Genomic DNA, 12644 nt, shown 5'->3' with positions numbered 1-12644 from the left:
TCCACTTACCAGCCAGAATACCCCAGAAGTCCACACTGCCCACAGACATCAACCTCAAAGGCATCACTTGAAATCATTAGTCTCTCTAGCAAAAGCATACTGGCTCCATAACCGATTAAACAGTCACGTTCCATTTCCCCGAGACGCAAGCCACCATCACGAGACCGTCCTTCAGTGGGTTGCCTTTGAAACAAGTTATTAGACAAATGTGTTATTATTCTGTTAAACAAACAAAGAGGTAGCATCACATGCTGGCAGAGAGCACGAGGCTTTGGAGCAGGGCTCATCTGGATCCAAATCAATAACTGGACAGGGACCTTGGACACGCTGCTTAGCCTCATTTGTAAAAGTGCATAAGCACACCTATCCCAAAGAGCCTCAATTGAGAAAAGATGTAATATTGATGGTTGTTATGGTTAAATGAATATATAATTGCATAATATCATATGATGTAATAACATATTAATATATAATCACAGAAAACACCATTACTATTACCATCACTATCATTATTATTAGGACAGCAGAGTTTTCAAATCAGGAAACAATGTCTTTAAGTATTTTCAAAGAGTCTCAGTATTCTATTATTTAAAAGCAGAAAAACTAAGCAGAATAGACTGTGGGGGAAACCTGGATCCTCCAGTAGCTGCTGCCAGAGCTGTTAGCCTCTTGAATGGATTCCCTGTGGTTTATATGCTGGGCTTGAGAATACTTTAAGAGGTTAAGAATACAGGACCCAGAGGTGTAGCTAAAATTAGGGGGATCTGAACAATTTAGGCAACCCCATGTAGGCATGGATCACACAAATTATTTGGGGGGAAAAAAAAGCAAGCTCCCTGGCAGGCTTCTTAAAGGTAATCTTTGAGCAGGGGTGACCATACACCCCTTGTTTGCTGTATTCCATAGCATCTTTTAATCTTTGTTGTTGCTGCCAGTCTCCCAAAGAATTAAGAAGGTGAACACAGGGTATGCCAACACATACTGAAATTTTAAGATTTTTTTAAATTGTTGTGGTTGAGTTTCAATGTGAAATCAAAGAAGTTGTAGATTACTTGTTGAAAGGAAATATACACATGAATAACTTACAAATACGTCTAAATAAACACATTATAGTGGAAACTTCATAACTGAGCACATCTATACATTTTTATCTGCCGGTAGAAACACAAATGGGTAGTTGCTCCCTTCACTTGAGGTCAGTGAACGAGGTAAAGGTAGACAGACCACATGTGGACAGAATCCAATACTTGGATTTTAACCAACTAAGATAACCAACTACAGACAAACGCACTCGAGGCAGTCTTCATATGGAAGAGACAAAAGTTACCAAAGTAATAACTTTTTCTACACAACAAAGCAAAATATAGGAAATAACTGCTTTGACATTTATGTTACTCTGAAATAGTTTTTGGATGTTGTAACTGAAATGGAAGTTTAGGAGGGGACAGCATTTAGGGGAGAAACACATCTAACCCAATTACGGTACCATTGCTGAGGTGATTATTGTCTTGAGAATCAACTTCTCTTCCCTCTTTGCAGTTTTAAGCACACATATGTCTATCATTTCAACAGACACGTGCATGTGCTCAGTTTTAAATGGTCAAAGAATTGAGTCAACTACACCTCTCCCTTGGCTTAAAAAAAAAATGAAACCCCAAGCATGAGCTGCCTCATCCTTGCCCCTTCTCTACATTGTTACATCCAGGCAGTGCTCAGTGAAAGTGGGGAGGGAACTGGATGCTTGCTGATGCCACCTGTGGATGGGTGCTGTACACATTCTGTATTCACACTCTTGACATTCACTGGCACCTGTTAAGTAGGTACTATTGTCTCCACTTTAAATATGAGAAATGCTTAAGCTGTGAGTTTCATCAGACTGTGGTCATCAGTGATCTGTCTAAGGCTTGTGACGGAATGAAAAGGTGGAGATGAGATCACAGCCTTGTCTGTCTGACTCCAAGGCCTGGGTTCCCTCCCCTAGCCCAGGGTTCCTCAACCTCGGCACCGCTGACATACTGAGCTGGGTAACTCTGTTGTAGGGGGCTGTCCTTGCAGCATCCCTGGCCTCTCCCTACTAGATGCCAGTAGCTACTTCCCCAGCACCAAGTTGGGACATCTGAAAATGTTTCCAGATGTTGTTAAATGTCCCCTGGGAGGCAAAATCATCCCTGGCTGAGAACCACTGCCCTCGACTATGCATCTCCAACTGGAAAAAGTAGCACTAAGAACATGTGAAACTTAGTAGCTATAATTCTCTTTCCCAAGAAATTTATCCATTCATTAACCCACAGACATTGTGCTTGGGATTGAGGGTACACCTGTGAACGGGGCACATGTGGCCCCTAACCTCCTCTAGCTTACTCAAATAAGTCTGCAAGTGGAGGTACTTTATGCTTCAATAACATTAGTTTTAAAAAACTCCAATTGTGGTTTATGCTACCAAATAATGTCTGCATGTGTCTTCTGTGTGCACATGGGTACATGCAAGTATATCAATGTGTGTGTGGCTATATACATACACATCTTCTTGTATGGACCTTTATAAATAGGACCATATTTGCAGACATTTACACAGTAAATAGTTGTGTTAGGAGTCCACTGGCAAGACCTATGGTGGGTTTGCTCTTGCGCTTGTGAAATATTTTTTAATTGGCTGCTACTTTTTCATTTTAATCATACATATATGATTTTCTTAATGCCAAACTTGCCAAATTTTGACATCTCAGGAAAACAGAAACTTTGTTGAGTCTGCTTTTTGCCATATCTGGAAAATACAAGGTGGACTTGACTGCATTATCAATTCTTTTTGTAAGTACTTTTCTCTTACCTGGTAAGGACGGCTCGTGGGCCCCGGGCCCGGGCATGCATTTTATCTAGCACCATGTGTTTCAGCTTCTGATAGTACACGGGGCCAAAATAGATGTATGCTTCTAAGGGCTCACTGAAAGAAAGATCAATTGTTGTGGGTTAAGAAACTAAGTTTGGGCTAACAAGAGACAGCCTTTGGACCCATCACTGGCAGGTCCTTACTCATTTATGACTGACTGGATAAGAATGATTTTCAGTCTGTAGTGAATGAAAAGACTAGTTGTAAAAATATGAAAAGTACCATAGCTATATTTAAAGATAAATGGCTTTACAAAGAAATAGACATTTAAACAGGTTGGGAAACAGTGTGTATGGGATGATCTCTCCTTCAGGATGACCTCCCTGGTCAGGCCACCATCCTTTCTTGCTTGGGCTACCACAGATAATCTTCTAATTAATCTCCCTGCTTCCACTCTCATCCCTCAACAATCTATTCTTTGCATAAAAAGTCAGGGGGATGCCTTCTAAAATGTAAATCACAATAGGTCATTCTTCTGTCCTGAACTCACCAATGGTTTCCCATCATACTTGGAATCTGTATTGCCAACATTCTATATTATGGCCACATGGTGAGACATACTCCAGTTCCTGCACACCTCACTGTTTCCTATTCCAGTGTCCCGCCAGTCACTCTACTCCAACAACACTGGCCTCTTCATTACTCCTCAAATGGAGCAAGCCTGTTCCTCTCTTGGGGCCTCTGACTTACCGTTTCCTTTGCCTGAAACACTCTCCCGCCAGGTATTCATATGGCTCTGTCAAACATTTCACCTGCTCAGAGAGACTTTCACTGAATACCACATCTAAAGAAGTCCTCCTCCCACCTGGCATCGTCACTCCGGCCCTGTCTCAACCTGACCCTTTGGCGCACTTGCCCCTTTTGATACCGTGGTGTACATTTATTATCTCTCGGATTATTGCCTGTCTTCCCCACTAGAAGTAACTCTGCAAGGATAAGCACTTTGTCTCCTTTGTCACGGTGGCTCCAGCACCTGTGACCCTGCCTGGCACACAACTGGTACTCAATAAATGTCTATTACATAACTGCTTCAATGAATCTTTAGAAAGTCTGTAGTAAGAGTTTAAGAAGAGGGTGAATATATAAGTACTTTGACAGAAGAAACCTTTTCTCATTAATCTGGAGCAAGAACAACCAGAGAACTGATGTCTTAAAAAATTTTTTTTTAACTGCCTCAAACTTTCTTCTTCAAAGGGAAGGAAGCAACTACCATGTGCTACTTAATCCACACAACGATCCAGGGAGGAAGAACTGTCACCTCTATTTTGAAGATGAAGAAATGGACACAGAGCGCCCGACAGGTCAGATAAGAACTGGTGAGTGGTGCAGTGAGGGTTCAAATCCAGGGCTCTCCCTGCAACACTGGTCTGATTTGGAACAAGTAAACTCTGGGGTACAGCATGATGTAAAAGTAGAAAAAGTAAAGGAAACAACAGACACAGCAGAGAGGCAAAGGAAAAGCTTGGCCACTGTTTGCTCGGTGTCCCTGATCACACTCTCAGCATCCTGAGCCAAGGCTTTTGTGGTCATCAGGCCATTCTGCTGACTTCAGCACAACCTGGTTCTTGGAAGACACAGAGTGGAGTGGAAGGCACAATGGAGAGGGTATTAAGAGACCCTGTCCTTGTCTTGGTTTTGTCACATAGTAAAGTAATTACATGACCTCTCTAGCTGAGTGTTCTTAGTTGTACAAGAAGGCGGTCAGAACAAGATTCTTTCCTGCTCTAACAGTGAATGATTCTATTCCTCAATGGTAGGGTTGCTCATGGTAGAATTTATGACACTCGGTTACCCAATGCTATTCCATCATCCACAGAGTAAAGCTATATGCAATTTTTCCTCCTACCTATCTATGTTCAAGAATGAACAAAAAGTGAAAGCTGGTGGTGATATATTTAAATGCCCTCGGGAATTTTCAACTAAACAGTGCTTCTCAGATTTTGTCACTGAAATAAATGGCAAAGAAAGGAAAACTCTGGCTGGGGGCATAGGGGAAGGCAGTGTGGACTGGGATATAGACTAACCATTGTCTACGGCAAGCAGGATATAACCCATCCAATTCTTTCAGTACAAATTATGTTCACGAAGGTCCACCAAATTGATCCTATGGTTTTGCACTTTCTGGTCAACACCTGGCCAAAAATGTGCCTTATTTCTGGGTGGAGAAGTGAAGAGAAGGTTAATGAATTTAGCAATGACAACTATGTTTTCTGAAATGGTCACAATTATTTTATTGAACCATTTCTGAAATGGTCCATTAGTCTTTTCCTGTAATGTGCTTTTCTATAACATCTCAGGTATGATACACCTAAGAAATCCATATTATTATAGTTTTAATAGGCAATTTTTAAAAGCACTCCACATTTTTAATAGATAGAGGCTTTAACAATTTCAATCACATCTGGAGAATCTATTTGCAGCACTAAAATCAAGCTCTGTTCTTACATTTGCTTCCATGCTGAGTTTCACTAGTGTTCAAGTGGTTTAAAACCTTAGGGCGTGGTGGCTCACGCCTGTAATCCCAGCACTTTGGGAGGCCGAGGCAGGTGGATCATTTGAGGTCAGGAGTTCGAGACCAGCCTGGCCAACTTGGCGAAACCTCGTCTCTACTCAAAATACAAAAACTAGCTGGGCATGGTGGTCTGTGCCTGTAGTCCCAACTACTCGGGAGGCTGAGGCAGGAGAATTGCTTGAACCCCCCCGGGAAGCAGAGGTTGCAGTGAGCTGAGACAGCGCCATTGCATTCCAGCCTGGGCAATAAGAGCGAAGCTCTGTCTCAAAAAAACAAAAAAAACAAACCCCAAAAAACAAAAAAAACTCCCAAAACCAAACAAAAAACAACACCCAGAAGAACACTAGAAACACTAGGTCCTGGAGTTTTATCTGGCATTAAATACCTAAGTGTGTCTTAATTTAGGCAACTAATTTGAACTTTTAAAAACCACGATGATTCCAGCTTCAGAACCTTGTCATTCACGATCATTGCAGAGATCTGTTTCTCACAGGTTAACACAAGCTCCCAAGCCTGGTCGCCTGGCTCTTCTTCCCCTCCACCCTCACCTCGGGCTGCCGGTACTGCCTCTTCACTGCACCGCAGCCAGGCTGGCCTCTTCCTGTTCCCTGAACTTACCAAGCTCTTTCCCTGGCAAAGTGTCAAACATAACTTTTCCTCTCCCTTAAACACTCTTCGAATGCCCTATCCTTCTCACCCTTTATCTCTCAGTTGAAATATCATAGCCAGTTCCTCACAGGGCCTTCTCACCCACTCTGTCTTCATTTTGGTGAGAGCTATATGTACTTGTATTTATTTGTCTGCATTCCTTTTTTCAATAAATGTTTATGGAGTGCCTGCTGTGTGTCAGGCCCTGTGCTATGCCCTGGAAATAGAACAGTAAACAAAACAGACCAGCCCTGCTTTCATGGAGGTTACATTCTAGTTGGGGAGACAGGCAATAGTATTACTATGTAGTATATTTGAAAATGGTCAGTGCTACAGGGAAAATAAAGCAGCAAATGGGCAGTATGGGGTTATAGTTTTAAATTAGATGGTAACAGTAGGCCCTACTGAGAAGTTACCTTGTGTCTATTATTTTTTAATGTCTAGCAACACACCTAAACGGTCAGCTCCATAGAACTGGGACCATGTCTACTGTATTTATTGGTATATACTCAGTGCCTAGCACATATTAGGTAGGTGCTTAGCACATCTTTAGTGAACACATGCACAAATGTTAGGCCTTGGTCTATCTGTCAAAGCATTTATTATTCTGATACTCATCACATAATTGCAGGGAAAGTTCAACAGTTAAAGGAAAACTTTGCATTATATGTAATTGATGTGTTCCTTAAAAGTAGGCATAGGGTAGAAATCATATTTTGGTAAATTAAATCTTTTCTACTTTATATTTTTTGAGACGAGGTCTCACTATATTGCCCAGGCTAGCCTCAAACTCCTGGGCGATCCACCAGCTTTGGCCTACCAAAAATCTACTTTCCAAATTATAATCTTACCAGTACAAACAGCACTCCTCAATTGTTAGTTTTCTAAAGTTAGATTTTCTTGTATCCAGTTTCTTAAAAAAATAAAGCTTAAGGCATATAGCCTTAATGCTTACATCTTAAGGCAGGGGTGTCCGATCTTTTGGCTTCCCTGGGTCATACGGGAAGAAGAAGAATTGTCTTGGGCCACACATAAAATACGCTAACACAAATGATAGCTGATGAGCTAAAAAAAAAAAAATTTTTTTTTTTAAATCATGAAAAACTCTCATAATGTTTTTAAAAAAAGTTTACGAATTTGTGTCAGACCGCATTCGAAGCCGTCCTGGGCCACATGCCGCCCACGGGCTGTACAAGCTTGCCTGAAGGTATACTTAATAGAGTATACCTTAAGGCTTTGTCTCCCCTATCCTAGTAAAACCATTCTTTTTCTTTAAAATAGCTCAATCGCATGCTTACCCTGTGATGCCGGATGTAACATAGTCTTTCCCCAAGTAGTTATAACCATGGCGAACGAGGTCCTCACACACATCCTTCACTTTACTGCCTCCAAACGCAGTGCCGTAGTGGAATCTGCCGTCCAGCACACCGGCCTTGCCAGCCAGCAGCTCAATGAGCTTCCCCACCTGCAGGATGTGAACAAATTAAGTGAGCACCTCCCTGTGGCACAAGCACTCTCTCTGCTTATTTATCTCCAGCTCATTTCCCCACGACCACTATTAATAACAGTAATAAATTAATAGAAGCAGTATTTAAGCTTGACATGTGTGATCTAATTTTACGCCTCTCAATACCCCTATGAGATAGGTCCTATATTTCTTCATTTTACAGATGAAGAAACTGAAGTATGGGAAGGATAAGCAACTTGTCCAAGGCCACACAGCTGGTAAGAGGTGGAGCCAGGATCACTAAAAATAATCACTGAAAGGGAGATCCATTTAGGTTCAAGACAAGGGATTCTCTTTTGCTGAGGGGTAAATTCATCACTCAGAAGACTCCACTCTCAAAGGGAGGTATAGATGTGCTCCTCATTCTTTATGTAGAGGGGAGTGGCCCAGAATCGTTAGGGGCTGGAAGCCTGTTTATCTGGCAAGGGGCAGAAGAGCTCTACCTGAAAAAACAGCTTCAGAGTCCTCGTCACCTCCACTCACTCTAACTAAACTAACTGCCTGCTTCTTCCTTAAAGGCAATGCCTCTGAAAAACCTACAGGTCACTGACCGTCATTCGTGATGGGAAGCCGTGTGGGTTCATGATGATGTCCGGACAGATGCCAGAATCACAAAATGGCATGTCTTCCTGGGGGACGATCAAGCCACAAACACCTGGGGGAGAGAAGATTTCATGCCACATAAAGCAAGTTGGCAGAAAGGAAGAATACAGTACTTAATTGGGATCTCCCCGCTGCTATCTCTATTTCCACTGCTCTAAAATCTTCCCCATGGCCTCTATCAAGAGCAACAAAAGTGATTTTCAACAATCCTGCTTGACAAACAGTTCAAAAACGACTCTCCTTGCGAAAGGCACTGCAGCCTGTGGACTGTGCTGCCGGCATAGCACACAATGGTGCTGTTGGGCTGCCTGCCCACCCTCCTGTGCCACAGAGACTGAAGAGCAGCAGCTTCACTGGACCCCAGGCCTGTGGCCATACCTGAAGCTTTAAGTCAGCAGCAGTTTTGCTCCTCATTAGCTAGTTCGTGATCTCCTGGGTTCTACACCCAAGTTATAGGAATCCAAGTTCTCTGACCCCCAAACACAGAAATGATTGGATGAGGAGTGTGCTTACAATGTGGTTTGAAAAACCAGTGACAAGAAGTACCTGTGTGTGGCTGATGTGCTAACAGGTCTACCTATAGGCTGCAGTGCTCTGGCTGGTTGGCTGATTTTTGCTAGGGCTTCCCCTGGCTGAGTCTAAACTGCCCAAAGGAATTTTAATTCCTATAGCTTACAGCCCATTAGGAAAGTGATCTTTGATTGAACTTGTAAAGTTGAACAAGAAAATTGAATACCAAATCGTTCTTGGAAAAAAAAAGGCTAGAATTAGAAATGGAATTCTAAGAATGAAAACAACAAAACAAAAATCTACCAACTCTATACACTACTAATATTCTCTTAAATTAATTCCCTTAATATTATTCTAACCTATAGGGGATTTTGTTGCTAAATAGTTTTTCATTCCTCTGATTTTTTTGGGAAGAGGAATGGGAATAGAATTTAGATTGTTAACTATAATCTCCATAATTTAGAATTGTACAGTGTCATTGGACTAAGAAAACAAACACTTTTACATTGGTAGTAAAAGATAAAATTCCTTTTCTCTGTGTATAAAGTTATTAACTATCTGCCCCTATTGCAAAGAAACTGCTCTCAAATATTTCATTCAATTTGATTCTATGTAATTATTCAAACTATTTCAATAGTTTGCGATTTGTTGTAATCACCAGGAGCTAAAGTCAAAAGAAAAAGAATGCCATTTTCCTAGGTAATACTGGTTATTAATATTCTGATTTATTGTAGCTGACAACAATATGGATATTGTGGAGTTGAATTCTAGAGCATGTAGTTAGTTTAAATTGGCTTTTGGGTTAAAATGGTATTGTTTATTATAAATATATGCTTTCCTACATGAAGAACAGAAACAATCATTCAGTTCACTTTATTTCAAATTCAGCTACAATGTGTTAGAATTTCAATCAAGCAGAGTGTGTGAGCCTTCTTTCTTCCCTCCAAAAATCCATCTTATCCACACTGAAATTATCTGACAAAACCCTAGGGCTACTGGGAAATCTACTTTGAAAGAGATCAAATTGTAAATCTAGGTGCACCGACAACAACATTGTTCAGCAGTGAACAAAATGTTAAAAATGGCAATCCCTAAAGGGGCCGGTTCTGGGACGAGCTCGGGGGAGAATGTAATTTTGGCTGGTGAGGAGATGGAGGGTTCAGCTATACCCCTGAAAAAACAAAACCAAAGAGAAATCTCGGCACCCCTTAAGCAGCAGTTCGCAGGAGGAGGCTGGCGTCTGCTCAGGAGGAAGCTGCCTGTCCACCCTCCATCAAGAGAAGGTGGGAGAGAGGGGCAGGAGGTGCAGAAACTGACCAAGGAAGCATGACATACTTATATTGGGGGTGGGTAAGGAGAGAGATGACTTACATTTTGTGTTTTCAGTTTTAATCGACACATTTAATTAAGCAAATTCAACTTTATTATGTTATTAAAATGAAAAAAGTGCTCGTTCCACTGAAATGTGAATCTCTAATACCTTTGCTTGAAATCTGATTAAGAATATTTAGTGCAGAGCTTCCTTCTGGGGAAGTTGTTTTCTTATCAGCCCTCTTCTGACATTTAGTTAAAAAAAATACACATAAGCAGCTTTCGGATTTTTTTCCTTCCATTATAGGAACTGCTTTGGCAATATCTGAACCAAGGGCACCTGTAAGTCAAAAATTAAATCTTAGCTGACTTAAAATTACTTCAGGCCCTGAAAACCCTTTTATATGCCAAGATGGTTCCCATAGCAGACAGCCCTGTGTTGTTTGTTTTGTGTGAAAGTGAATGATAAAAGATCCATGAAATCGACACAGAAAGCCAGAACAGCAGAAAGAACTGAGGGCTCTCCATCATTGCGGCTTCTACCCTCTGCTGACTTGCGGAACAATGGAAGCTACACATCCAACTGCAGATCTAACACAGCTGTGCATTTCATTAGATGAAGAGCACTAGTGACACAAGTAAATAATTAACTTATTCTGGTCCGCTGACTGTGCTTATGAGACCAGTCATAGCTGACAGATTTTAATACAAGTTAACACAAAGAGACCATAATGAGCTTAGAAGTTAAAACAAAATATTTAGACAGAATTTGATGATCTCGAATCTCAAATTAGACAGATGATTTTTAAAAGTTTGTATTTTACTGAATTCATTAGGGGTAGAAAGAGAGTTCTCAATCTTAGAACCAGACTTATCTTTTTCTAACAGTATTTCTCTGTTTCAGAATTATTCAAATCCTTAATCACAGCGGGAAGGTTTCTTTTCTTATTTTCAAATGAAAGATTAAAACTGTTTTCTCCAGGGACAGAGGCATAAAGTCCATTCCAATATTTAGAAGTCTTAAAAGTTATGGTCATTTTCCCTTAACACTGGTTTAAAATGTAAATGATATGCGGTGCGCTTCAATGTGTTAACACTCCCCTGGATCCTTGAAAAGAGGATGGACTACAAATAAACCATATCTAATGGAAGCTGTTGTGAAACAATTACCAATTCATACCTTAAATGCTTACACAGCATTTCAGATTTTAAAATAAAATTTCATCCCCTGGCTCAAGCTGGTGTCTCAACCCCATTGTTTACAGCACAGCCTCCCAGCAATAAAATGCAAATACACCAGTTTAACATGCTCAGGAACATTTAATGCACTCAGGAGGGCCAAATGGGAATTGGACCACAGACTACAGTATAGAACTTTTAACAAATGCAAATAGTAAGAAAAAAAAATAGAATCACAGAAAGTTAGAGCAGAAAGGGACTGCCAATACCCCAATCGACAAAATATTATTCCATCACCATCCATCTTAATTTCTAGTTGTAAAGGGGAAGAATTGAGGGAGTCTAAATCTGACTGCCGATCCACTCAGGAGAGGCACTTCTGACATCCACTATCACAGCTCTCTGTATCATGCTTCAGACACTGCTGGCTCCTACACCAATTTGTTATTTCTATTTCCAAGGCTTCACAGAACAACATAGAAATCATTTAAGAATAGGCTTGCTCAGGAAAAGTCAAGTTAATCTCAGGAATCATCTGGTTGTCTTTAAACATACTCATTTTTTCTTTTCTTAGACAGGGTCTCACTCTCTTGTCCAGGCTGGAGTGCAGTGGCACAATCATGGCTCACTCAAGTGATCTTTCCACTTCAGCCTCCCTAGTAGCTGGGACTACCACATCCAGCTGCGTGCCACCACGTCCAGCTAATTTTTAATTTTTTTTTTTGTAGAGATGAGGTCTCACTATGTTGCCCAGGCTGGTCTCAAGTTCCTGGACTCAAGTCAAAGGGCTGGGATTAAAGGTGTGAGCCACCATGCCTGGCTTAAAAAGTATTCCTAATTCTAAACAGCAACTGACATATTCAAGTCATTTTTGGCCTTTAAAAAATACTGGTTTTAGTGTACTGTCTCTGTGTAATGGACTATCTTAAGCAGGAAAAAAAAAGGTAAGAAAAGAAGAAAAAAATGGTAAGAAAAATTAACACATTCTAGTAGCATATGAAGACAGGAAAGCAAATGGCAACTGCAGAAGACAACTGTAATGCCATCTCTAATTCAAGAGATGTTTTTGATGTGACTTCAGTGTGTTGAGACCTGACTAGAAGATTGTTTCAATTTTGCTGATGGCCAGTTCTCATTTTAATATTACAGTCTGCTTTAATTTTTACATTTTTATTTAGCAAGTCTACCTTCTAAGTGTAATCACATTTGAATTAAATTTACCCCTCTGAGGTTAATATATATTATTACTCTTCCTTTTCTGAGTGAGGAAAGAGAAAAAGAATCATTTCCCTCAATTGCTGGGGAAGTAGAGGTTCAGGGCCCCAACTCCAGATAGGCGGAGGTAGCTTATGTCAAGTCATCTGAGTGAATATTGAAAACTTCGTAAATATATTGCATACATTTATACAATTCAGCTTGCCACTTTCTAATGCTCTAAATGATGTGGAGCACATCTGGCAGGATGGTCTGCTGAAATAATCCTAATC

At 40.7% G+C, this 12644-nt stretch overlaps 1 protein-coding gene and 1 long non-coding RNA gene across 4 annotated transcripts in view, besides 1 other annotated feature; one reads left to right on the top strand and one right to left on the bottom strand.

Annotated features, from left to right (window-relative positions):
* The window catches only part of LOC100287944 (uncharacterized), a 278422-nt gene extending 270568 nt beyond the window's left edge, over nucleotides 1-7854 (top strand). The window contains exons 3-4 of the long non-coding RNA NR_040246.1: nucleotides 4082-4188; nucleotides 7718-7854. This is a non-coding gene — a long non-coding RNA (uncharacterized LOC100287944). The remainder of the gene's footprint in view (nucleotides 1-4081; nucleotides 4189-7717) is intronic.
* Nucleotides 1-12644, bottom strand: part of POLR3B (RNA polymerase III subunit B) — a 152451-nt gene that overhangs the window by 5935 nt on the left and 133872 nt on the right. For 2 of the 3 annotated variants that reach the window (NM_018082.6, NM_001160708.2), the window contains exons 24-27: nucleotides 8106-8209; nucleotides 7346-7512; nucleotides 2828-2941; nucleotides 10-183 (exon numbers count right to left, since the gene is read on the bottom strand). In NM_018082.6, the coding sequence (NP_060552.4) occupies nucleotides 10-183; nucleotides 2828-2941; nucleotides 7346-7512; nucleotides 8106-8209 (559 nt within the window). The other variant, XM_017019621.3, reaches the window with a different exon arrangement.
* Nucleotides 9912-10076: a silencer, noted in NCBI's record as "fragment chr12:106887966-106888130 (GRCh37/hg19 assembly coordinates)". NCBI's record gives its function as "represses an EF-1alpha promoter that drives an FKBP-Casp9 reporter gene in an ReSE screen in K562 erythroleukemia cells {active_cell/tissue: K562}" and the evidence as "EXISTENCE:reporter gene assay evidence [ECO:0000049][PMID:32094911]".

This window comes from Homo sapiens, chromosome 12 (genome assembly GCF_000001405.40).
Source record: "Homo sapiens chromosome 12, GRCh38.p14 Primary Assembly".
In the NCBI taxonomy this organism is placed as follows: domain Eukaryota; kingdom Metazoa; phylum Chordata; class Mammalia; order Primates; family Hominidae; genus Homo; species Homo sapiens.
The sequence above is the reverse complement of the archived record's forward strand: the minus strand, read 5'-3'. Positions and strand labels throughout refer to the sequence as shown.